The 25836-nt window shown below is 51.5% G+C and overlaps 2 protein-coding genes and 1 long non-coding RNA gene across 6 annotated transcripts in view, besides 3 other annotated features; 2 read left to right on the top strand and 1 right to left on the bottom strand.

Annotated features, from left to right (window-relative positions):
* The window catches only part of STK24 (serine/threonine kinase 24), a 131923-nt gene extending 120605 nt beyond the window's left edge, over positions 1 to 11318 (top strand). For all 3 annotated transcript variants that reach the window (NM_001286649.2, NM_001032296.4, NM_003576.5), the window contains one exon: positions 3294 to 11318. In NM_001286649.2, coding sequence (NP_001273578.1) covers positions 3294 to 3330 — 37 coding nt within the window. In that variant the 3' untranslated portion in view covers positions 3331 to 11318. The remainder of the gene's footprint in view (positions 1 to 3293) is intronic.
* FARP1 (FERM, ARH/RhoGEF and pleckstrin domain protein 1) overlaps positions 1327 to 25836 on the bottom strand; it is a 312588-nt gene continuing 288078 nt past the window's right edge. The window contains exons 18-28 of one of the 2 annotated variants that reach the window (NM_001286839.2): positions 25223 to 25460; positions 20797 to 20927; positions 18645 to 18737; positions 17631 to 17699; positions 17307 to 17396; positions 16460 to 16542; positions 16268 to 16380; positions 15667 to 15833; positions 10298 to 10405; positions 9686 to 9837; positions 1327 to 8267 (exon numbers count right to left, since the gene is read on the bottom strand). In NM_001286839.2, the coding sequence (NP_001273768.1) occupies positions 8186 to 8267; positions 9686 to 9837; positions 10298 to 10405; positions 15667 to 15833; positions 16268 to 16380; positions 16460 to 16542; positions 17307 to 17396; positions 17631 to 17699; positions 18645 to 18737; positions 20797 to 20927; positions 25223 to 25460 (1326 nt within the window). In that variant the 3' untranslated portion in view covers positions 1327 to 8185. The remainder of the gene's footprint in view (positions 8268 to 9685; positions 9838 to 10297; positions 10406 to 15666; positions 15834 to 16267; positions 16381 to 16459; positions 16543 to 17306; positions 17397 to 17630; positions 17700 to 18644; positions 18738 to 20796; positions 20928 to 25222; positions 25461 to 25836) is intronic. The other variant, NM_005766.4, reaches the window with a different exon arrangement.
* Positions 10374 to 10668: a silencer, noted in NCBI's record as "tiled region #8978; K562 Repressive non-DNase unmatched - State 8:EnhW". NCBI's record gives its function as "represses a minimal TATA promoter and a strong SV40 promoter by Sharpr-MPRA in K562 cells {active_cell/tissue: K562}" and the evidence as "EXISTENCE:reporter gene assay evidence [ECO:0000049][PMID:27701403]".
* Positions 10394 to 10443: an enhancer, noted in NCBI's record as "active region_7900". NCBI's record gives its function as "activates an Ori minimal core promoter by ATAC-STARR-seq in GM12878 lymphoblastoid cells {active_cell/tissue: GM12878}" and the evidence as "EXISTENCE:reporter gene assay evidence [ECO:0000049][PMID:35858748]".
* Positions 11214 to 11263: an enhancer, noted in NCBI's record as "active region_7899". NCBI's record gives its function as "activates an Ori minimal core promoter by ATAC-STARR-seq in GM12878 lymphoblastoid cells {active_cell/tissue: GM12878}" and the evidence as "EXISTENCE:reporter gene assay evidence [ECO:0000049][PMID:35858748]".
* On the top strand, positions 20663 to 21098 carry FARP1-AS1 (FARP1 antisense RNA 1). Its single transcript, NR_046595.1, has 2 exons — positions 20663 to 20731; positions 20845 to 21098. It is a non-coding gene; the product is annotated as an FARP1 antisense RNA 1 (long non-coding RNA).

Below are 25836 nucleotides of genomic sequence, written 5' to 3'. Positions count from 1 at the left end.
GGAGGCAGTGGATGTGTGCTGGGAAGCCGCTCTGTGTGACCTGAGGGTGATTTGTCACTGGGCTGTCCTCCACACCCCCAGGAGGACCAGGCGTGCTGCTGCCTTGACAGTTCATCTTCAGGTGTCCAGGCTGACACCTCCCAAAGCTGGCTGAGACTCTGTGATCATGAGGGGGATTTCTGGGTCTTTCCTGAGACTGCGTCCCACCTGACAGTACATAAAGAAGTTTTGCACACGTGAGGTCCCTTTTGCTATTTGGAAGTGATTGAAGGGGCTGCCTACTGTCCTGTGAAGAGCCCCTCTACGTGGGGACAGCAGGAGAAAACCACAGTTCTGATACTTCACGTTTATGCTTCTGAACTCGGGTTTCTTAGTAAGACATTTCAACTTTTTAAGTTGCTAGAAAATAAAAATGATCTACTTGGCTGCCTTCAATTTTGAGGCAATTGAAGGACGATCCCTCCCTCCTTTGATACTAAAAACAATATAGGAATAAAGGAAAATAGAATTAAAAAGTCACCCATCTTTTGCCTGAACACAAACTTTTTGATTTCTCAAACTTAGCATCACATACCTCATTCTAGAGGCATTTATTTCCCATTAGAAAGAGCTTTATAATAAAACAAATAGAACAAAACCAGAAACGGGTAGGATTGTTACTGTCTTGTTGGGCATTTTGCTCTCTGCTTTTGTAGTATTACTTTTAAAACCAATACTTTCCACACTGTCCAGAATTGCCTGAAATTGTTATGAACTGTTTGTTTATATACGTGACTTGATTTCCCCAGGGCAGCTCCAGGGCACAGAGTGTGTGGCTTGTATGTGTTGAACTGATCCACGTTTCCCATTCCCAGGCCCCTATCTCTCTGTTCCTCTTCTTTTAGTTGTTAAGGCAAGTTGATCTGTACCAGTGCTGGCCAGTAGAAGTACAGCGTGGGCCACACACAGAATTTTATGTTTTCTGCTGGATGTGGTGGCTCATGCCTGTAATCCCAATGCTTTGGGAGGCCCAGGCAGGAGGATCGCTTGAGGCCAAGAGTTTGAGACCAGCCTGGGCAAAATAGCAAGACCCTGTCTCTACCAAAAAAAAAAAATTTAGCTAGGCATGGTGGCTTGTACCTGTGGCCCTAGCTACTTGGGAGGCTGAGGCTGCAGAATTGTTCGAGCTGAGGAGTTCGCGGCTATGGCTGTGATCACGTTTGCACTCCAGGCTGGGCAACAGAGTGAGAACCTGTCTCTAAAAACCAAACAAAAAGAGAATTTTACATTTTCTAGTAGCCATATTTTTAAAAAGCAAAAAGAAGTGAAATTAGTTTCAACAATACATTTTTTAACCTGCCAGATCCAAAGTATTATTTCAACATTAATAACAACAATCATCAATAAGGTATTTTACATTTTTGGAGGGACCGTCTTTGGAGTTGGTGTGTGTTTTACACTTAGCACATCTCCATTCAGACGCAGCACATTTTACGTGCTCACTGGGCATCGTGGCTGGGGTTGACCCTATTTACCCTCGGGCGGGTCTGTAGCTACCTGATGTCTGTGTTGTGTTTAAAACTTTACTTTGCAGTGATGCATGGGGGAAGCCAAGTTGGTGCTCTCTTTCCTTTGTCTGTGATGAGGAGTGCCCTCTTTCCTCCTCTGTCCTCAGATGAGCTGCCTCTTGAGGTGCTTATCATCTCTCTGCAGGCTTGGCTGTGGTACCCACTTCTTCCTTCCCTGCTCCTGAAGCTCCCACTGAGCGTTCACCCCGATGGCTGCCAAAACCACGGTGGCCATGGCTTAGACTTCCTGCCAGTTTTGCTCCAAACATGTTGTTTCAGTGGATGGCTGTAGGAAAAATGAGAGCCGCCTCTCCTCTGAAGCATTTTCAGAGCCTTTCTGTCTCAGCTGGAATTAATGTTTGGATTCTTTTGTGTGACATCAACTCATCCCGTGATTTAGTCATTTGTATTTCTTGATAGTTGAGTCTTAGGCTCCGTGGCTAATGTGTGCTTTTGGGAGGACCTTATGTAACCATTTGTTCTCTGGGAGAGATGCCAAGTATTTCAAATGCCTGAAAAGAGGAGCTCTAGATTGGAACGTTTGAGATAAGCCTGGTCAAAGACATCCTCAGCCATCTCTCCTGGACCTGTGATTTGGAGTCTGTTGTAAAATGGTTGAGGGAATTGTGGTCATGAGGGGACCCCGTTCTCACCCTTTGTTGTCTTCTGAAGACAATCTTGTAGAATTTTTGGAAGACACAGAAATTACCCATGATCCCACCACTGTAGCCCAAATCTCATCAGCATCTTTGGGTGCATTGCCTTCTGTTGTCATACCAGGTCATAAACTTACTGAATTCTCTTATCTACCTTATAGTGCAAAGAAGATTTTTTAGAATTTCTATAGTACTTAATTTAGGATACAGAAGTTGTTCATGTAAATATACTTATATAGTGCACATATACAGGCTGAATATCCCAAATCCCCAATCTGAAACTTTTGAGCGCCAGCATGGGGCTCAAAGGAACTGCTCTCTGGGGCATGTCAGATTTCGGATTTGGGGCTGCACACTGGTAAGTATAATGCGGATATTCCCAGATCCAAAGCCAGAAGCATTTCAGATAAGGGATGCCCAATCTGTAATTTTGTATGTACTTTTAAACTTGTACATATTTTTAATATTGCTTTAATATATATATGTAAATACAGATAATTACCATTTTTAGTCTGTTATTTCAGTTTGTATAATTTACTTAACTGATTCTGTACTGTTGGGCATCAGAGTTGTTTCCAAATTAGTGTAATTACGAAAATCCCGAGAGACATCTTTGTGCAGACACGTTGTTCCTGCTTTGGACCATATTTCGGAAGCAGTTCTAGGAAATAGATTCTTGGACTGCATCACTATTTTTATGGCCAAAATGGGTTTCCTGCCCTCACATCGGGAATGCATATGCATCCCTGGAATCTTACTGTGTCATCATGTATGGATCAATGTTCACTTTTTGACAATTGATCGTAAGTAAAAGGGATATGATTTCCCGTTTTATTCACATCTCTCCAGGGAGGCTGAACCCATTCTTGGTTTTTGGTGACATGCTCTGGAGTTTTTGTGTAAGAATCATGATCTTCTCAGTCTTTATATGCATTCTTTTAAAATTAGACTTACACATTGATATTTGCTCCACTTATTTTTGTATGACTTGGAATTTCTTATGAAAACTAAGATTTTGGTTACTATATGAATTTTTGCACAGGGATGAGAAATGACATGTGTTGACTTCTCTCTCTCTCTTTTTCCCTAGATACTCTCTAAGTGGTGGAGGAACTTCATCCCACTGAAATTCCTTTGGCATTTGGGGTTTTGTTTTTCCTTTTTTCCTTCTTCATCCTCCTCCTTTTTTAAAAGTCAACGAGAGCCTTCGCTGACTCCACCGAAGAGGTGCGCCACTGGGAGCCACCCCAGCGCCAGGCGCCCGTCCAGGGACACACACAGTCTTCACTGTGCTGCAGCCAGATGAAGTCTCTCAGATGGGTGGGGAGGGTCAGCTCCTTCCAGCGATCATTTTATTTTATTTTATTACTTTTGTTTTTAATTTTAACCATAGTGCACATATTCCAGGAAAGTGTCTTTAAAAACAAAAACAAACCCTGAAATGTATATTTGGGATTATGATAAGGCAACTAAAGACATGAAACCTCAGGTATCCTGCTTTAAGTTGATAACTCCCTCTGGGAGCTGGAGAATCGCTCTGGTGGATGGGTGTACAGATTTGTATATAATGTCATTTTTACGGAAACCCTTTCGGCGTGCATAAGGAATCACTGTGTACAAACTGGCCAAGTGCTTCTGTAGATAACGTCAGTGGAGTAAATATTCGACAGGCCATAACTTGAGTCTATTGCCTTGCCTTTATTACATGTACATTTTGAATTCTGTGACCAGTGATTTGGGTTTTATTTTGTATTTGCAGGGTTTGTCATTAATAATTAATGCCCCTCTCTTACAGAACACTCCTATTTGTACCTCAACAAATGCAAATTTTCCCCGTTTGCCCTACGCCCCTTTTGGTACACCTAGAGGTTGATTTCCTTTTTCATCGATGGTACTATTTCTTAGTGTTTTAAATTGGAACATATCTTGCCTCATGAAGCTTTAAATTATAATTTTCAGTTTCTCCCCATGAAGCGCTCTCGTCTGACATTTGTTTGGAATCGTGCCACTGCTGGTCTGCGCCAGATGTACCGTCCTTTCCAATACGATTTTCTGTTGCACCTTGTAGTGGATTCTGCATATCATCTTTCCCACCTAAAAATGTCTGAATGCTTACACAAATAAATTTTATAACACGCTTATTTTGCATACTCCTTGAAATGTGACTCTTCAGAGGACAGGGCACCTGCTGTGTATGTGTGGCCGTGCGTGTGTACTCGTGGCTGTGTGTGTGTGATGAGACACTTTGGAAGACTCCAGGGAGAAGTCCCCAGGCCTGGAGCTGCCGAGTGCCCAGGTCAGCGCCCTGGACTGCTTGCGCACTTGCTCACCGAGATGATGCAGTTGGAGGTTGCTGATCTGTGCGATTGCTGTAGCGGTTGCCGGGGACCTTAAGAGTTATTTTGCTTCTCTGGAAGGGGCCTATGCTTGCTAGGCAGGCAGCCAGTGTGTCTGTTTTTCTTGGTTTGCTGTGGGACCTTGCTTGGCGAGGGGGAAAATCTCTGGGTTTCTGGAGTGGGAGGGTTCGTGCAGCAGCTGTTGACTGGTACATGAAGCATTCTTTTATGTTTGTTGAAGCTGATGATTGACATCTCCCGTGGGTGTGCCAGTTCTTGTGGAGTTAAGACAGGATTTTTGGAAGCAAGGAAGTTAGTGGGTGAGCTTGGGGATGTAGCTCAGCTATCTGCTGGTCTAGTGGCCTCTAAGCTATAGGGAGGGGACAGAGCCCTGAGCTACAGATGCTTGAGTGGGTTATTGTGTCGGTTTGCTAGTGCAGTCTGGTTTTTAAGCTCTAAAATTGAGGTATTTTATTAGAAGTGGATTTGGGTTGAACTCTTAATTTGTATAAGGGATATATTTTGGTTGGGGAAATAGAACTGAGTTGCTAATTCTTATTGTACTCATTACTCCATACAAGAATGTTATGTTGAATAATAAAATTGGAGAAGATTTCATTTTGTGTTTCCAGGGAGTATTCTGTGTGGGGAACTGTTTCCTTACGTGAGGCCGGCGGCATAAGTCAAAGATGAGTTTTGTCCTTGCGAATCACACAGATTGAGTCTGTGTTCCCCAGGGTGTGCCGTTACCTGATTTTTAAGTGAGCCAGGGCGGACAGCAGCTTTTCTGATTTACAGAGTTCTTCAGATTTACAAATGGACAATGACATCACAGTTTTTAGCACTGAAGCCAGTCTCATGCTAGTAACAGTGGGTGAGCCGCTCGAGGGACTGGGTTCTAATGAATACTGGTATGAACGGGGAGTCTCTGCAGTCGCCAGACAAATCATACTCAGCCCCTTCCCCCGTAGAGCAACAAGTGGTTCTTTTAGAGTTGACTGGCAGCATTTCCTGTCGGGGGAGGTGGGGTTTGATGGAGTTAGAAAGCTCGCCTCTGTGTACATTCTCTCCTGGGCTGTTACTTTCTGTAGACGCACAAAATCAGCCCCAATGTTTTTAAGGGCATCTTAGCCAAGGAAGCTGGCTTTTGTGTCGCCACTTCCAGGCCTGCATTAAGAGAGAGCCCAGGCACCAGGGCTACCACTGGAACCTGCCTCAGCGTCAACTGCTGCTGGTCTGTAGCCAGGCCCAGCCTTTGAGACGGGTTTACTGTCACCAGTAGCCTCTCAGTGCCAGCCCTGAGCTGCTCCTGGCTCAGCTGCCCAGAGCCTGCAGCCTGGGGAGGTACTCAGCCTCTGGGAGACGAGGGCCGTGGACTGGGTGGCTGGTAGCTCCTGCGTTTTTGAGCTGTGTCCTGGCTGGCTGCTGCCAATGAGGTGGACACCAGTGTGGTTTGGGGTGCACTGGCCACTTCTTGCTGGGTTCTGATTTTCTTGGAAGTGCATCTGCCTTCCTTATCCAATAGTTTTATCCCTGCATTGCTCTTGTGAAGTGGCTGGTTTGGTTCTGTATGTAGCATTTTGTACCTTTCCTCTGGCAAAACACTGTCAGTTTATAAACATTTTTTATATTTCCCTCCTTTAAAAACAGCTTGTGTATTTCTGCTATAAAATGTGTCAGCAAAGGCAGAGTGACCTAATAGGGCATGTTCTTAAGCACAGGGACTGTATCATGCAGGGGCCAATAAAGCTCAAGAAAACGAGTATCTGCATCATTGTGTGTCTCATGTGTAGTGTGTCTCAAACTCCACTCAGATGGACTGTTACCCACACTAGTATTTTCTTGAGGGCACACAGGAAGCAGAGGTGCTGGTCACAGGTCAGAACCACCAGTGTCCAGCAAGTAGTTTGGAATCAATCAATCATTCAGAAATAAATAGCTGAGGAGACTGCCTTGTCCCCAAGTCTCCAGGAATGAGTGAGTGGTGACTTCTGGAGGGAGCCTGATGCTGCTGTGTGGCCCGGAGCTGTTTGTTTGCTCTGCCCCTGCCTGGAGGTGGGGGGAGCATAGGGAACAGTGGGGGGCAGGCCCTCCCTGTGTCACTCTGAACACTGGGGCTTTAGAAACCCTTGCTGGAGTGTCCCCTTCCCCCCTCCCCCCCCACACAGAAAATGAAGACTACAGACAAAGTTGGTTGTTTTGCCTTAAAACATCAATATGCTGGATTGTGGCGTGAGGTATTTTTATTCCCTTTGTTAGTACTGGAAACCGTCTGGTACATCTTGTAAGGCAAATGATTAACACACGGCAGGCTCTTCGTCCGTTTGCAAGTTGCTGTTTGTTTCCAGCTACACCAGTCAGAGCTCCACAGAGAGGGTGCGTTCCTGGTTCTCAGGTGGGCAGGTGCTATGGTGCGGGGCGCTGGAAAGAATGGGGTTGAATTGGCCCTCGCCTCCGCTTGTTTGAGACTCTCGTTAGAAAGGGCTTAGGAAAACCAAGGGAATGGCAGCCACCCCATCACCATCGAGAACAGGCAGACGTTTCCCGAGTAGGGGCCAAAGCCACTGGAAACCGTGTTCCCTGTGCAGTCCGACTGACACTACCCCATGCCTGGGGGGAATGAGTATAAAAAGGGAAATGTTTTTGAAGACAGGCACGATATATACTACTAGAGAATGCGCAGTTTCAAACCACAGTTGCAGGAGGATATAGGAATAACGACAGGTGCCGGGGACTACGTACCATGATTTCATAGTGCTCTGCAGCCAGCAGGCTCACTAAACGCTCATCACGGAACATACCACAAATGGTGCTGATCAATGACACACGGGTTTTCATGCTTGTGACACAGACAGACAGCAAAACACCACGGCTTATTATCTTCCCATTGTGTACACCACTCACAGGACGGTGACAGTCCAGGTATTGCACTGGATCTCGGCTTTGCTTAACAGAAAACAACCCTGCTACGGTTGGAAAGAGTTACCACTTAAAACGATTTGGTCAACTTGCACCAAGAAGTAGGTTGGGAACAGGTGTTTTCAGGTGAGCGTGAAACCCCGCAGTGGAACGCTGTGTGCTGCAAATTGCTTATTAATCAGAGAAGTGAGTCCTACTAACTTCCTATTATTACAAAAGTAGAAAGACTGAAAAAAAAAATGAAATCTGAAAATGATCTCATTTGCTTAAGGCTGCACTGAGTGTATTGCAAACAAACAAACAAACACCGGGAAGTCCACTTCGTAAAATGCAGCAGCCAATAGGTGAAAATAATAAAAGAAAGAACTTTTTTTAGGAAGAAAAACACTTGCCCTGTCTTGTGTTGAACGGATGTGTGTGTACTGTTTTTCAGGGGCAGGGTGGAGGGAAGATGTCATTTGGCACTCTCGTAATGACAATGTTTTAATACTGGCACTAGCTAAAGAACAGCGCCCCCAGCGGATGCCAGGACTGGAGGTGGGAGCGCTGTTCATTCAGACGCTGAGAGGTCGGGGTTAAAAAACGCGGCTGTGGAGACAGGAGAGCTGCTGGGAAGCCATGTTTTTGATTTTCAGACAGGTGTTAATTTTACCAGGCTTCATTAATACAGAAGAAAGGAAACGTCTTCCAGGAAAGCAGCCACTGCGGAAACGAGTGTGTCCGGCCATCAATACACAAGAGACTCTTTGTGACTCAACACGTGGGGTCGCGAGGCAGAGCTGGTGGCACTGCGGATCACTTCCATCCACCTGCAACACGGGAACGCCAGTTAGTCAACCTTTTGTTTGGACGGACTCCTGACACTTTGGTGGGCATCGCTTACAGAAACACAAGGTGAAGTCAGGCCGCCTGGTTGGTAATCTGCCACTTCAGCAGAAGAGCAAGGGAACAGCCAGCACCCAGGCGTTCCTGAGGTACAGTGGAGACCCACTGGCCTGGGCACTCACTCAGTGTGGAGCTGGAAGTACCTTGCTGCAGTGACACTGCCCGCTCCATTGGAGCAGTTAGGAGCGAGGTGGCCTCTGGTTGCTGGGGAGAACGCTACCTCCTATTTTCATGGACATGGCAGAGAATGGCGGGACGTGTCCCATCCTGCTTAGTGGAAGCTCTCCCTTCCTTTTTTCTTTTTCTTTTTTTTTTGAGACAGGGTCTGGCTCTGTCACTCATACTGGAGTTCAGTGGTGCAGTTATCGCCCACTGTAGCTACCTCCTGGGCTCAATCGATCCTCCAGCCTTGGCCTCCCAGGAGATGGGACTACAGGCTTGCACCACCACGCCCAAATCTCCCTTTTTATATATTTGTGTATTTGCTCTCTACCGGTGCTTCTCAAATGGGTGCAATGCTGTCCCATTTGGTAAAGTCTGGAGACATTTTTAGATGTCCCAACTGAGGGGTTGCTGCGGGCATCTAGTGGGTGGCCAGGGATGCCGCTGAACATCCTGCACAATGCAGGACGGACTCCCCAAATTACCTGGCCTTGTCCCAGGCCTTTCAGGATCTGGACTGCAAGGCTGGACCCTTTGTCACAATAATAGCAAAATCCCAACTTTGATCAACCCAGCTCTCAACCCAGCTCTCGAGCTCAGTCCAGGATCAGATTTGAGAATGGCTCTCCTCTAGGTTCCTTTTTCAGGTGATGTTGTTTAGGAGGTGCTCAGCATATTGCTGAGGACCCCTCCCCTTCTGCCTCCCGGGGCGAGGAGGGCTCAGCAGGGCAAACTGCACAAGTAGTCGGCTTGGGGATGCAATTTGCAGAGGCCCAGGATCTCTATTCAAAATATGAATTGCAGGAACAGTCTTAGGCCTGACTGTTGCATTTCTTTCTTGGCTAAATGAAGTCTGCAGTCCCTGCCATTACACCATGTAGGCAGTCTCACTGGGGCTTAGCTTCATCATCCCGGACACGTTATGTCAGAGATCTCCAAGCAAGATGTCTAGGGCCTCAGCCAACACCGTGCAGGGTAAGGGCGCAGGGAAGTTGGGACCCCACTTTCTGCCATGAGAACAGAATCGCCTGCTGGTGTCGGGCAGTGGGACCCCAGGTCTAAACGCTTAGTTGGCAGGGAAGGGTGGGGCCATCTCACTCGCTGACTTGGGAGAAATCCTGATGTTTGGAAGAGGGGGTCCTCTTCTGCAGGGCCCTGTGCGTGGGAAGGGGGTGTCTACCTTTCGAACGTGTACTCGCTTTCCGCCCTGAAGTAGTAGACGTGGGACTTGAAGTGCAGCTTGAACACGTAGTCTTTCTGGATGTTCTCGGACTCAGAGGGGATGGTGAGCGAGTAGCCGAGCAGAGGCAGGCTGGCAAGGGGATGATTGTCCTGGAAAGGGGAAACAAAGCAAAGTGGCTTTTCGGGGTCAGCTTCTGCTGCTGGGCCTGGCTGCTGCCCCGCATCAGACAGGGACTTGGGAGCCCAGGCAGCTCCCTCCTCGGGCGTGGGCCTGGAAGGGACCATGGCAGCCAGTGTTTGCCTGTACGTGATGGCCCGGGTGGCAAGTCCCGCCAGGACTGAGCTGTAGATAAAGCCAACCCCCGTCCCTTGTCCAGGCAGAAGACAGGTGGCCCTTCCTAGGGCAGAAGTTGTCCTTCAGTGGATGATAATGTCAGTCTTCCCTAGAGTTGAGGGCCTCGGGTGGACAGGGCCCCCCGCCAGCATCCCTGTCATCCCCGTGACACCTGGAGCCCAAGAGGCCTGAGTCATTCCAGAGGAGGGCGGCCCCCTCACCTCATGCTGCCACCCCCAAGGTCCCAGGGCCACCTGCCCTGTGCGAGACACTTACCTGGTGTGATTTGTAGAAGAACAGGCAGAAGTTTGTGAACACCACCCACAGCTTCTGCCACCCGTTGCTGTTTTTGAATTTCCTCAGCAGGTTTCCAGACAACTGATTCTGAAAGGCAAGGAGGCCTGTGAGAAGCACAGCGGGCACCTGCCCCAGGAGGGCACAGAGAGCAGCTCTCCCTGCACCAGGGCCCTGGGCTGGGGCATGTCCGTGACTGAAGGATGTGGGCCCCACCCCCGCTCCCCCGTGTGTGGGGAGACTTGGCAGGTCCTGGGACCCTGATCTCATCACTTCCCCTTGTCACTTGCTGTGGGGCATCTTGGGGTCCCTGTGTCCCCCCAAAAGACACGTTGAGGTCCTGACTACCAGTACCTTAGAACACAGGCTTATTTGGAAATAGGCTCGTTGCAGGGTAACTAGTGAAGACGAGATCACACTGGGGTAGGGTGGGCCCTAAATCCAACGGGAGTGGTGTCCTGAGGAGAAGAGCCACCTTGAGGGGAGAGGGGTGTGCCCTGTGACACCGAGGCAGAAATGGGGGCGCAGGACCCCATGCATTGCCAGCAGGCGGAAGCTGAAGGAGGGAAAGATCCATCCCAACAAGCTCAGAGCAGCACTCGTTTTGAGGGGCCAGGCACCCTACCCAGGAAGTGGGGCCTGGGGTGCATGTGAGTGGCTCCCACATGCCCTCTAGTGGCCCAGGAGGCAGTTGCAGCCCTGCCCACCTCCAGGCTCAGGGCCGGCCCAGCCCCTGGAGCATTGTTAGGATGCGCTGCAGCCCAGCTAGGGGGCAGGGACAGGCACCTGTGTCCATGCTACCTCCAAACAACTCTGAGCAGGCCTGACGCACTGGTGGCTCATTTCGTCCCTTTGCCAAAGTGACATCACCAGCAGAGACTCAAAGCAGTTGCACCACCTTGTAAAGGCACTTAATGCCACTGAATTGTTCCCGTAAAAATCGTTAAGTTGGCCAATATTGTGGTATAGCTATTTTACCACAATAAAAAATACAGACCTCCGAGTCTGCCTCATTCCATCTCTCTGGGTGCCCCTGGCACTAAGCTTCTGTGCTGGGAGCTGGGATCAAATGGTCTGATGTCCCTGCCCTCCAGTTGCTCAGGGAGGGTCCAGTGGGAGACATGGACACTGACAGTAGGTCCGTGAGGGGCTGCAGGATGTGGGGGACCCCGCAGACGGGGAGAAAGGGCATTCCAGGCCAGGCAGGCAGCTCCAGCCATCCATCCTCCTCCCCCAGTGGCAGAAAGGAACAAGAAAATGCAAGGCTCCAGGTTCCCAGAAGGTCCTGGTGGTGGCCAGGGCTGGGCTGATGCCCATGCGGCATCTTGGGTCACGCAACATGGAGCAAGGAGGGTGGCACACTCCCCTTTCCTAGGTATTTTCATACTGACTCACATAATTTTCACACAGCAGCCAGCCCACAGTGGGGTTCATACATGTCACCCATCACAGTCTGGGCCCATTTGTTTCCAAAGCAGCTTCCTTAGCGCTCTCTAGCTTCTGCCTGGCCATTCCAATAGCCTCTGGAAACCTCTTTATCAATAGGCACATCCAGCGGCCCTTCCTCGCTCCCCACGGCCGGGCCGAGCCTCCCGCTCCCCTGTGTCGGGTCCATCCTGGCCTCCAGCGTGTTACGGGCCCTGCGCGCCATGAGTCTCCTGCCCTGCACTCAGGAGGCCGAGGCCATGCTGGTGGCTCCCAGACCTGTCTCCATTCACTGCCTTCACGAGAGGGTCAACATCCTTGTTCAGAACCAGACCAGCCTGCCCTGTCTCCTCGTGGCCCTTCATTGGGGCCACCGCTCCTCTCCCTTCTTGGATCCCATTCCCTCAGACCCTGCTGTGGGTTGAATTGCACCCCCAACAAGTCCAAACCCTCCGTGCCTACAATGGTGACCTCACATGGACACAGGGTCTCTGCAGATGCGATCGAGTCAAGGTAAGGTCACTAGGACGAGCCCTAAGCCCAGCACGAGCCGTGTCCTTAGAAGAGGATATTAGAGTGCAGATACAGGGAGGACAGCTGGTGACACGGCAGACCGGAGCCCTGCAACATGGGTGGAGTCGGGGACCCCCCGAGAAGAAGACTGCCGCAGCCACCAGATGCTGTCAGGTGGGGACATTTTCCCTCAAGGCCTCCCAAAGGAACCCACCTGCCAGCAGCTTGATTTTGGACTTCCGGCTTCCCGCACTGTGGGAGATGTTTCTGTGGCCTCACCCAGTCTGAGGTTGGTGCCGAGTGACGCCACGGGGAACAAATATAACCCCCGTGCCCGCCACTCCCTGGCCTCACTGTCCCTTCCCTCCTTCCGGTCCTGTCTGCACCCCGTCCCTTCCCTCCTCCCAGTCCTGTCTGCGCTCTGTCTGCTGAACAACTTCCCTGCTGTCCCGTCTCGCCACTCCAGCCTTAAAAGACAACTTGCATTGCTTTGCCTCTGGCCCTTCACTGGCTCTAGTGCCCACAGGCTGGGCAGCCCTCTGGCCATCCCAACATCTGACCCCACCTCTAGTGGGAGCCCCCAGGCCTGCCGGCTTGCCCACAACTTTTAGCAGAGGCCAGTGAGGCCACACGGTCCCCAGATACGCCCCTTCCTCAAGTGTGCCTACACGAGTCAGACGGGAGTGGGAACTGGGAGAGGCTGGGCACGGGACTGGGGAGAGGAGGCTGTTGAGTCAGGAGGAGATGGAGCTGCTTTGTCCTGTCATGCAGGGAGGAGGCCCTGGGGATGGCTCATCTGCGAGTCAGCGAGCATTTGGCGTCTGGCACATGAGGGCTGCCTGCCACCGACACAAGATTGATGCCACGTGCCTTGGGAGGGGGCTTTCTGGCAAGGAGGGACATCTGCAAAGTGATAGAGCAGCCCAGGTCCCTGACTGTACTAGGTGGTCACTGCCACCTTCAAACCCCACTGGCCAGTGGCTCACTCTCCTGCTCTCTACTAGGGTCAGCAAACTTTTCCTCAAAAGGCAGACGGCAGATATTTCAGGCTTTGCAGGCCAAGGGGCAAAACTGAAGACATTATGTAGCAGCCATTAAAAAAAAGTGAAACCCATTCTTGGTTCGCAGGCTGTAAGCCACCAGGCCGGGGCTAGATCTGGCTGGGGGCCAGCGTGCCCCTGACTCAGTGCCTTGACCTGATCATGCACACGGAAGGCTGCGACCGTGTAGATTTGTTATCCAAAAAAGCTGGGCTGCAGGTGGCTCTGGGCCACCTGGACCCCACTTGGGTATTTGCTGCCTCGTTGAATGGCCTGGGTGCCTCCAGGTATGTAAAAAGCTTTGAGGCCTATGACAAACCCCAGCCTTGAGAGTCGTAATTCACACATTGCTGAGGTCAGGACGAAGCAAGGCCAAGACGGTTCCTCCCCAGTGGCGGCGCCACACATCGACTGGCTTCGTTTCAGACACACGCCCACAGGTGAGATCTGATGAGGCCTCGTTTCCCATGAGCCTATCACGGGTTCTTCCCTGCTCCTCCGCTTCGGGGGTCTCCTTTCCTGCTATCATAATCCCCATCCCCTGGGAGAAGTCTCAGACCCGCAAGCTTTGCGCACAGGCCTGGTGGAGGTGTGAAGCTGGGGAAGAATGTTTAGTGCTCTTCACACCTGGGCTGTCAGGAGGCCCGGGGAGGGAATATTCACACCTGCACACTCAGGGGAACCCCATGGGACAGAGCCTCGTATGTGGGGACAGCTGGGAAGAAAGGCTGTGCCCGTGGGGGAGCCAGGGCCTGCACCTCGGATGTGTCCCCTTGAGGATGTCTTCAGAAGCAGGCCTGGGCTTAGAAACAAGCGGCTTGTAGCAGGAAACTCAATAAAGGCAGGTCTGAGCAACGGGGAAGGTCGTTTCCCGAGAATAAATTCCGAGACTCTCTCGAGACCCTCCATGAAGCACTGCTGGCTCATTCCTGCTGCTGTTGGTTCCAAGAGCCAGCAAACTCCTGTCCTGGCCTGAGTCTCTTATGTGACACTCTTTGGACCAGGCCTGTGTGGGAACTGGCCCTTTCTGCGTTTGGAAGGGAGTCCTGCCTCGACTGCAGCAGCCCCGCAGAGGGCGCGGGGGCAGAGATTCTGCGGTGAAACGTGAGCATTCACATAAAACACAATCACAATGATGAATGGCCTCGCCCCAGCTCAGGGCAGCTTCCACTGCCAGTGAGAGATGAAGAAAGCTTTCCTGTTTCACACCTTCACGGGCTTGAAGTGTTCTGAAACACAGCTATGGGCCTGGACTGAAGAATGCTTAGGGAATGGGCATTTGGAAGGGTCTGGAAGGATTCAAGATCTGGGAGAGATGCATCTTCAAAGCCAACTTTCAGGTGGTGGGCTCAGAAAACAATACCCTGAAGTGAAAGGTTCAGAAGCCAGGCTTCCCTGCCCACCTCCTGCCTCGCCCCTTTCCTCCCCAGGCGAGCCACGGAAACTGGACTCCCCCTTCCTTAAGGCGGGTCATTGAAACCAGAACCTCCTTCCCCCAAAGCCAGCCACAAAACCAAAAACGGTCACCCTAACCTTTCTCCACCGTTCTGTGTAAGAGCTGGCTATAAACTTACTCCCTGGCCCACCTGGTGTGAGAAGAGGTTCTAAGACCCCCACTGTAGAAAGGGTCCCGCACCATACCCCGGAGCAAGGAACGCTGCTCAGAAAGGCCCAGAAAACCCGGAGGGGCCCTGCGGGGCTCCTTTCGCCCTCCTGGCACTAGCTCTCAGCCTGTCCCATCAGCTCCCCACGGCGCCCTGTTCTTCACGGAAGCGAAGCATAAAAACAGACGGTTTTCGCCGGACCTCTGGGTCTTCATTCTGAAGGCTCCCATGTCATGTAAAATGACGATGAAATAAACTGGTCATGCTTTTCCCTTGTTAGCCTGTCTTTTGTCACAGGAGTGTCTGCCGTGACCCTCATGATGGGGAGGAGCTGGCACCTGCTTGCCATCGTGCAGACTCTCCTCCCTCCCATGCACCAGATTCCCGTGGGGCGGTTCAGGACATGACAGCCATGGAACTGTCCAGCAGCTGTGCCCTGGGCCCTGTGTTCTGGGCTAACTGCATGAGAGGCAAGAAAACAGGCGAAGAAAGAGAGAAAACGACCTTGTGGATGGCAATAGGACTGATGAGCACCAAGGGATATGACTGCATTTGTGGGAGGTCGGCGCCCACTCAGCATCACCCCTGCAGGGATACCTCCGGCAGGCTCCAAAGGGGGCCCAGTGTTGATCCTTCCCTGCTCAGCCACCGCGGGTAGGTGGGGCCACCCACAGTCCCAGCCTCCCTCAAGCCCCTGGCCCAGAAGTTTGCCTGGGTTCTGCCTGGGCCAGCACAAGCTGGGAACCAGAGCTGCCCTGCCCCTGCGTACCTCCACTGCGATGCTGAAGTCCACCATGGAGACGCTGGTGTTGCGGTGCCAGCACACGTGCACCATTGTGTTGCCGCGGTGCGGGGCCTGGCGCTCCAGCGATGTGCGCGAGGCGCTCAGGTCATCCTCTGACTCCTGGTCAGCCGCGGTGGCTTCATCAGGGGACTCTACAGGATGGGGCAAAAGGCAGCACTTCTGATCTTTCCTCCCAGCGCCCCTTCCTGATACACTCTGAGGTGCTGGAAGGTTGGGGGGCTCACAGCAGTCACAACCTGTGGTGCCCAACCAGAATCTAATGAGGCCTCGATGGACCCTGCAGCTCCAGTCACAGAGCCCCAGCCCCTCCCGGGTGTGTAAACAGCCTGATGTTCTCTCCCTGGACAAGGGTAAATGCCGGCCCAGAAAAGGTGACTTCCCAGCTCCCTCATGCCGATTTCAGGGGTTTTACTTTTAGGAAAAAGAACTGTCTTGATCTTTGGCTTTAAACACAAATGTACACCACGGATGTGAGGCCTACCCGATGGGGTGGCTTTAGATGCAGAAATGCTGTCCCTCCATGAACCAGACCCCTGCATGGGAAAGCTGCCCTGGCCACACTCACTGTTGTCAGGGGGGCTGCTGGCCAGGAACTCAGGGGCGGGGCTGCTGCTCTTCTCCGCCAGGTCAATGGCCATCTGGATGTCCTCAACCCACTTCTCCATCTCGGACCGAGAACTGGAGACAGAGACGCGTCAGGTGTTCAGGCCACAGCACATCAAAGGGGAAACAGGCAAGGGGCGGGCTCCCGAGTTACCTGGCGGCCACGATGATGGACTGCCGCTGGCCCCGGAGGGTCAGGCAGTGGGGCACCCCCCACTCGTCTTCGCTCTCCTCAATCTGTGGGCAAGAGAAGATAACGTCACCATGAGGCACGTGATGCACTTCCAAACATCCCTGAGCTGGCAGCCAGGCAACTTGGAAAAGGAGGGGTGCCCCTGAGCAGGGCTCAGGAGACCCAGAGCCCCACAGAGGGAGAAGGCACTCTGAGTTGGAAAAACCCAAATCGGAAAGGCGACAGGAAGATCGCGGCACACTGAATGTTTTTGGCAGAGCCCACAAACTTCCCTCTCTCCAATCCCGGAGGACAGCGTGGGCACCAGCCAAAGGGCCACATCCCAGGCCCAGGCGCCCTCTACACCTGCCTGCCAAGGGGGACAGGAGGCAGCCCCAAACCAACTCGGGGGAGGACGAGGTGGCTGGCCCAGCTCCAGGGAGCGGGCGCTGTCATCCTTGTGTGTGGCGAGGACTGTCGGGGCCCCTGGGGCCAGGCACAGGCTGTGGGAGGCGAGTTCATGCCACGCGGCCTTGTCAGCTTACCCTTTCACTCGATTCTATAAGGAATGGACCTGCACATCCCATGTGCAGGAGAAGGAGCCGTGTCCCCAGAGCCCCACTAGAGAAGCCCTAGAAGGCTCGAGCTTTTAGGTGAAAGGGTTGTATGGTCTTCGATGGTCTTTGAGCCCATGTCTTGTAACCAAGATGCCACTAGCCACCCTCTCCCTCCCTATCCAGTCTCCTTCCCTCCTCATCGCCGGGTCAGCAGCGCCCGCACCTGCTGCCCCCGAGGACAGGCCCTGGCCACGAGCCTGTGCTGTACTCACCGTCATGCCATAGAGCGGGAGCTGCCCGTGGACTTTAAACTGATTGGAGGCCGTCAGCCCCCGGCTCGTGTATAGCAGGACGTCGTTGAACTGGAGGAATCAGAAGTGTGTGGAGGTGAGACCACGTTTGGACAGCAGGCTTCCCTCCAGCATTCCCTGTCCTCAACTGTGCCTTCACTGTCCTCAACAACTTGGGCCTGGGCACCTCTGGCTGCTCTTCCTCTACCCCAGGTCCCTCACTTGGGTGGCCGAGGTCCGGCCTTGGGAGCCTTGCTTGCCCAGGTGACACAATCCTTGTGAGGACAAGCCGCTCTCTCCACTCACCAGGAAGAACATGCGCTGCTGGAGCCCCTTCCCCGAGAGCTTGCTGAGGCTGCCCAGACGGATGAACTCCTGCAGGGGAGACAGACCGGAGGGCTGGCTGCGAGCGTGCGGACCCCAAGGGCTGACGGCCAGTGTGCAGACCCCGAGGGCTAAATTTGTAGCCCCTGAGGGCTGACTGCGAGCGTGCAGACCCCAAGAACGGACTGCGAGCGTGCAAACCTACTGGCTTCCTCCCACCTGGGTCCCTTGCATGGTGGAAGTTACAGCACTCAGCTGCGATTCACTGCACCATTGCTCTGCCCCAGGTGCTGTGCTAAACCCTCTCTAGGGATCATCTGTCTCCTCCCCAGGAAGGTACAGGGCAGGTACCACCAGCAGCTCCCCCAACAAAGGATACGGACGGTCGGGTTCAAGAGTGCCCGGGCCTCTCTGAGGACCATGTGTGTAACCCCAGGATCCCCAGGGCTCCCCACGGTGAGGGAGATCAGAAGGACCCCAAGCAGTTCTCAAAGAAGAAAGAGGCTATAAAAAGTGGCAGCAAGGGACCCTTGAGGACCGAGAGGCCACATGGGAGCACTGTGGCTGGAGGAAGCTTCTCCATGATTGAAAACCCTGCTTCTCAATGAGCAGTAACTGCGTTGAGGATAAAGGAGTGAGAGGCAGATGTGTCCAAGGCACCTCTGCCTCCCGAGTGACATCCTCCCCGGGGCTGTACACTCTTGAGGGCATGGATCGCAGGGGCACAAGCACTTAAAAACAAAAAAATGATCATTTTTAAATTGTGGTAGAATCCACAAACACTTGAGCATGTGTGGCCTTGGTGGACTCACAAGGTAGCCCCACCATCGCCACCATCTACTTCCAGAACGTGCTCCCTCAGGCGCCTCCGATCCCACCTTCCCATTCTGCTCAGGGTTGATTTGAAACAATGAGTGGATGTGTGGCGGCCTGATGAGTGCCAAGAATCAGGGGATCATCTGAGCTTAGGAAGGAGTACCCCAATTCCATCTTCACCTTTACTAATAACAATGGCCTCCTCTCTGGAGCACATGGGATGCGCCTGGCTTGTCCTAAGTGTGGAGTCCTAATAAGGGAAAAGGAGCCAGGCTGGTGGGACCGAGAGAAAGCAAAAAGACAAAGCGGAGAAGCTATACAGGTCTGCCTTTCTTCACGGTCCAGGACACAGCCCTCCTGCACAGATAACTCACCATCTTCCTGCGCCCAGCTATCACCAGAGCCTTGGCTGATAGAAAAACGCAAGTGAGTTCGCTGCAACCGCGGCGTTATCACCCTGCACGAAGCCCTCCTGGGCACACAGCACAGACACCACCCGGTAAAAATCCCCAGCAAGCCTTTGTCTCCTTGCAGTCAGCTCCTCCCTTGCTGTTGCTTTCTTGCTGTTGCTTTCTGGCAATGTATTTTCCTACTTCTCGAATAAGCCTGCCTTTCTTTATCTATAACTGTCTTCGTAAATAATTCTTACCGCCTGCACCACCAGCCTCAGATAATCACTGATCACCTGCGACACGGAGCGATTACAGGAGCTCCAGACGTGAGCCTGCACCTTCAGTATCATTATTCCCATTTTTCAGATAAGGAGACTGAGGGGCAAATGATTAAGAAACTTGCCCATCATCACCTGATCGGCCAGTGTGTGATAGAGCAAAATGCTTCCCGTTGTGCTCTGCAATGTAGTTAATGCCACTATTCTATGGCTACCTTTCATCTCTTCAATTAAATGTAGGTGGGGGAAAACGAAGATAATTAATATGTATTATGTCATTTTCACAGAGCAAATCTCATTTGATCTTAATGACCTATGAGGGAGAGGCCATGGTCTCCATGTGCATGGTCCCCCGCCACCCCGGCACTGGTAGAGCGAGACTTTGAACCCAGGGCCACCTCCTCCAATCCAAGGTTCTTTCCATTGCAGTGGAAAACATTTCCTCAAAAAAAGGAATTCTTTATCAGTGGTCTGTTCACCATGTAGCATGAGATGCTAAATATTTTATAACTTTCAAAGCTGAGAGAAAATTACATCGATTCCACAGGGCTTTTCTGAGGGTTCCGTGTGGATGGGTAAATAAGGTCATTAAGTGCCGAGGCCTGGCAGGATCTTGTCACCAGCAGAGCTGAGGCCATCCCAGCTCTAATTTCTGCCAGCGCTTACCGCATGGCTCTTCTGACAATCTCTCACAACGTGGCTTCTGGTCAGTTCTGTAATTAGGCTTCCTGACAGAAATGCTCCAAAACAAGGAGAGCTTCCTTCCCCTGCCCTGAGTTACAGATGTCAAGTTTCCAGGGCAGCTGCTTGTTGGAAAAAGACTAAAAGCCCCTGAGATACTGGATCCTGCAGCAGCAGATCAAAGCAGCTACAGTGAGTTGTCTCTCGACCTGGGTGACGTAGCATTTGAAATGGGGGCGCCACAGGGTAAAGATCCCAGAGAGAGATTTGATGAGACGCAGCAACTGAATGATACGTTTGATTCCTGGGTGATGATGGCTTTCTAGGAAGGGAAGTGGAGAAGGCAGGCTTTGTTCCTGTCCTCCACATTGTCACTGGCCTGGAAGGAGTGTGTGCGGGAAGCCCTGTTGAGTAGGAATCACCTGCATCTCAGGCAGGGGGCTGGGGAGGGGTAGGCGACAGTGTCAGTGAACTTGCATCTCTCCTGGAATTGCTTTCCAGCTAAGATTTGGTATTTTAATTTTGAACTCAAATTAAATTATATATGGAAGATTGAATTTTAAAAAAACACTTCATACCTGCATGGGAATTTCTAGCATAATTTAATGCACTACCTTTCTGGCTTTATTACTATTTACCTAATTTTTTTTTTAATTTTCCATTTTCATTTATGTACATTTAAAAAAAATAAAATAAGCAATCTCAAATCTTCTGTGGGATATGGTAGGGGAAAAGGTAAAGAAGCGAATCACCCCGTAAGGAGAAAAAGCAGAATATGAGGTCAGAGGATTGCTTTATCTCCTCCGAACACAATGATTCTGAACTAACGACACTGTTGTGTTTTTCCAGTTGTCTCCCAGGTGGATGGAAAGAGGACATTTTGCTTTGCAAGGGTCTCTCTTCAAAAGGTTCAAATGTAAGTCCCTCCGATGCCTCCTTTCTGCTCCCCGCGCAGTGCATAGTGAGGCCACTGCTGCTTACCCTTCCCGGAACCACAAGATTGTCAATGCCAATCAAATCTTTCTTGAGTTCGTGCAGCTTCTGGAAATTCTCCATCTTGATCATCGTACCGTGGAGCTGTGCCACCATCTCCGTGATCTCTGCCAAAGCGGCTGTGAAGGAAAGACATACACAGTCTGCAGCGGGAAAGGCAGGCAGGGGTCTTCCCCTAGCAGCTGTCAGCTCAACGCTGCAGGGAAATCACTCCAGTCCCTGCACAGTATTCAAAGGTGTCTTTTGAGCAAAAACAGTGCTATTTCTCTATAATAAAAATTGATGGTGTATTTTCTGTATTTATTTGCTTCACTTTAGCATCTTAAAACTAAGTGACCCCTGCATGGTGACGTGGCATACAGCTGTCCTTCAATTAGACGGACCTGTTGGCTTAGAGGGGAAAGACACGGGGGAAGAAGACTGCCTTGAATTTTGTCCCTGGGTAGAGACTTTTCTTTTCCCTCCTGTTACTCGGAAAGAACAAGGCACAGTGAGCACAAAGAGGCCATAGAAAAATCTGGAGCAAAGTCAGCACCTCCTTGGGAGGAGGTGTAATTGATATTGTGAAGTGTCAGTATATTCCAGGTAACTAACATTCCACCACACCCCAGTTCTGTCTTGTGTGGAAATTACACTGTTTACCAAGATGGTTGTGAAGAATTGCTGTAGAATTCAAATTTTTTCTTTTCTTTTATTTGTTTGAGACAGAGTTTTGCTCTTGTTGCCCAGGCTGGAGTACAATGGCATAATCTCAGCTCACTGCAACCTCTGCCCCCAGGTTCAAGTGATTGTCCTGCCTCAGCCTCCCGAGTAGCTGGGATTACAGGTGCGTGCCACCACGCCCGGCTAATTTTGTATTTTCAGTAGAGACAAGGTTTCACCATGTTGGTTAGGCTGGTCTCGAACTCCTGACCTCAGGCGATCCACACGCCTTGGCCGCCCAAAGTGCTGGGATTACAGGCATGAGCCACCACATCAGGCCTTTATTTTTCGATAGAGGCACGGCTCCCCTATACTGGTGGGCATCCAATATTTAAAAGAAGCTAGTGCCTGATTAATACAAGCTTGGGTGGCACGCAAGTCCCCAGTGGCTGACAAGTTTGGGTGGCACTCAAGTCCCCAGCGGCTGAGCACTTGGGTAGTTTGGTCAAGAAAAGCAAGAAATACTTGTTGACTGAACTTCAGTCTTCAGAACTCTAAATACCTCTTTCACTGCTTTCCCCCAGCATTTCAGTGTTGGAAGGGAAGCATTTAGTTTTCTTGTTTTTTCCCCCAAGGATGCGAGTTAAATTCTCCCAGGCTTATCAGAGAATGCGGTCTCAGCCATAGTGACAAATCCCAGGCCTTGCTCGATTTTCAGACATGACCACCCAGTTTGGTCCAATAAACATTTACTTGGCATCCAGTGCTCAGTGGCAGGGCTGGGGGGTAGTGGGGAGCTCTGAGAGGAAAATGATGGAATGATGGCACCCCGGCCCCCGGTGCTCAGGGGCAGGGGCGTGCTGGGAACAGCCCTTGGCATTCAGTGTCCCTCTAGCTCTGGAAACCTAGGCTCCTACAGTGCTGCCACTTCATGCTTTAAGCTAGCTAGCACTCTCTTCCTCAATCATCAAGGATAGCCTATCTCCATTGGGTACTGTTTAGAGAAATAGCAGAGTGGAACTGGATGAGTCCGCCAAGAACAGCGCCTTCAAAACCACACACCGCTCTCACCCCCATGGGCGACAGATCTGAGGAGTCCTCAGAGCCAGGAGGGGCCCTGGGTCCTTTCCTCCGGGCTCGGCCAACACACAGGCAATGCCAGTGTGACAGGACAAGGCGGACAGGAGGTCAGCTCAACATCAGGTGCCAGGCACAAGCTGAGGCTTAAAGGACGAGAGAGAGCTGGCCAGGAAAGGCCAAGGAGGTGGTGGCCAGGACTCTAAGCAGAAGGAACGGAATGCACCAAGGTGTGGAGGCAAGAGGCAGCATGGTTTTGTTTTTAGAGACTGGGTCTAGGTCTGTCGCCTGGGCTGTGGTGCAATCATAGCTCACTGCAGCCTCCAACTCCTGGGCTCATGCGATCCTCCCACCTCAGCCTCCTGAGTAGCCGGCACTATAGGTGCATGCTCGTAATTTTTAAATTTTTTGTAGAGACAAGGTCTCACTGTGTTGCCCAGGCTGCTCTTGAACTCCCAGCCTCCAGTGATCCTCCCATCTTGGCCTCCCAAAGTGCTGGGATTACAGGTGTGAGCCACCACCCCTGGCCAGCATGGTTTGTTTTAAAGACAGATGGTCAATGACAAACCATGTCAGGAGGCACCTGTGTTCCCCTTCTGTGAACTGTCACTGTCTCAATTACTTTGCCAAGTCTTCTACCTATTGGGTTGCCTTTTTTTAACAACTAATTTGTAGGAGTCCGCCATATATTCTAGATATTAACAACGGTTTTTCTAGAACAAGCCTGGTATCACTGTTTCCCTCCTTAAAACACTTCCTGTTCGGCCTCTGCTCTTAGGTTACGGCTTTGCGGGGTCCATGGGGCGCAGTGGGATGTAGCCGCTGCTTTCTGTCGCAGCCTCACTTTGTGGCTCTCCCTGTGCCCTGCACGCTTTTGGCAATGTTCCGGTCTCTGTCCCCTCTGAACCTGAGCTTGTGCTGTTTCTAACTCTATTCTCCACACCCTCCTTTCACCCAGGAAAACTCCTATTTACATGTTAGTTCTGAACTTAGACACCATTTCCCTTCGAGATCCCCCCAACACCCCCTAACGCCCCGGCTCCAACTGCACCGTCCACTTCTCTCTCACGGCCCTAGTGCAGGGTTGCCACTGCCCAGGTACCTGCCTGCAGACCCTCCAGCACCCAGGTACCTGCCTGCAGACCCTCCAGTGGGTCCTGTGAGGTCAGGGGCCGCACTGTTCCTTCTCCCTCACACGCCCAGTACAGGTGCTCGCTGCGCAGCTGGGGTGTGAGAGCTGGCCAGGCCAGGTCATGAAGACTTCCGATTTTAGCCTGAGGCAGTCAGCCGTCACCCAGGTTTTAAGCCAAGGTGTAAGAAGATGGATTTTTAAAAAAGATGACAGTTTTGGCTAAAGAGTTGGGAGGTGTTTCTGACATTTCAGGCAAGGAATAAGGGCCTTGCCCTCCTAGTGGGTGTGTGGATTCGGGCCACCTGTGCGGGAGCCACCTACGCAGGGCCAACTCCGCATGCTAGGCCAGGGAGGGCAGACACCCACAGACCAACTGTGACACCAGACACAACGACTTCCGTTCAGAAGAGCACGCGTGGCCCCGTGGGAAAAGCAGGTCTGGAATGCGGCTCTGACCTCTGAGTGACCCAGCAAGTCCCTTCCCCTGAGTCTCAGCGTCACGCTCTGTAAAATGGGATAATGCAATTGATCTAAAGGGGTCCTTAAAGGAGTAATGGTGTGAACGTTGGTACAGTATCAGGTACACAGCACCTGGCCTGGGGCTGAGCAAGTACGAGCGGGTAGGACTGTCCATGAGATAGAAGGGCAGGACGGTTGTGACCATGGGTTCTAGATTTAGGTTCCAAATCATTTCCCTCCAAGCTGTGTGACTCTGGGCAGGTTCCTTAACCTCTCTAGTCTCCGTAGTCCCCATATGTAAGATGAACTCACCTGTGCCTGAGGCTTGGGAAGAGTTAATACAGGAGAGATGCTCATTATGCTGATGGGCACATTACAAATGACCGGTAGCAATGAGCAACAGGATTTCTTACAAGCTATGTTCTGTGGCCATGGTAGAGGGATGAGTTTCCGTCACGTGGGTAGAAGCAAGCTTCCTGGGTGGGGGCTAACTGTAAGCGGAGCTTCTCTAGGGATCTTTGCACAAAACCACCCAGGAACCAAAGGAGAAAATGCATGCAAGAGGCAAAGGAAGAAAGGGGTCCTGACGATCATCAGCACCTTCTTTACGGAAAGATCAAGATGTGGCCGGGCACCGTGGCTCACGCCTGTAATCCCAGCACTTTGGGAGGCCAAGGCGGGCGGATCACAAGGTCAGGAGTTCGAGACCAGCCTGACCAACACGGTGAAACCCCGTCTCTACTAAAAATACAAAAATTAGCCGGGCGTGGTGGCGGGCGCCTGTAATCCTAGCTGCTCCAGAGGCTGAGGCAGGAGAATCGCTTGAACCCGGGAGGTGGAGGTTGCAGTGAGCCGAGATCGCACCATTGCACTCCAGCCTGGGCGACAGAGTGAGACTCAGTCTCAAAAAAAAAAAAAAAAAATCAAGATGTAACCAAACACCAGAGCAGGAATAAAAACCGGCGCCCACCCTGATGAAAACCTGGGACCCAGCATCAGCTGACCTCTCTCCCCGGGGAGCCCCTCCCTGGCTGGGCTCAGTCTGGGAGCACCCGGCCTGAACTGTGGCATGGGCACCAGGTGGCGCAGGCTCCCAGCACTCACCTCGGCAGTCCCTGAAGTCGGCGTGGCTCGGCGGGTGGTGTTTGCACAGCCGCTCCAGGACCTGCTTGTAGTGCATGAGCCGGTGCAGTGGCCGCAGGAGGAAGGTGTTGAGCGGTAGGTAACACACCTTCTGCAGCTCAAAGTCTCTGCAGAAGTTCTCCAGCCGCCGGGAGCTCTTGATTCCATTCTCCAGGGCCTCCAAGGCCTCGCTGTGCTTCCACAGGTGAGCCGCCAGGTGCTTGGGAGGCAACAGAGGAGGAGGGTCCTGTTCAGCTGAATGGGATGCACCTGTGTTCTGCCCAGTTTCACTTGGGGAAATGAAGCGCTCCTGCACTCTCTATTTCACGATTTGTTTAATTTCCTTAAATTTCACATTGTTCATAGTTCACTCTTTTTGTTATTTCACTTAAGTTCTCAGGATGAAATAAAAAGGCCTATTAAGGTACTGAGCAGTTTAAAATACACATGGATCATAAAATATATAAGCTATGTATATAACATCAGAGGTATAAATGTTCCTTTAAAATTGAGCCTGGAAAAACTGGGGACAAATATATCAACAGGAGCTCCTTAAGGAGGGCTGTGGTTTTCTTCTAAATGTCTTCAGATAACAA

Source organism: Homo sapiens, chromosome 13 (genome assembly GCF_000001405.40).
Source record: "Homo sapiens chromosome 13, GRCh38.p14 Primary Assembly".
Lineage (NCBI taxonomy): Eukaryota > Metazoa > Chordata > Mammalia > Primates > Hominidae > Homo > Homo sapiens.
This window is presented reverse-complemented; position numbering and strand designations above follow the sequence as displayed.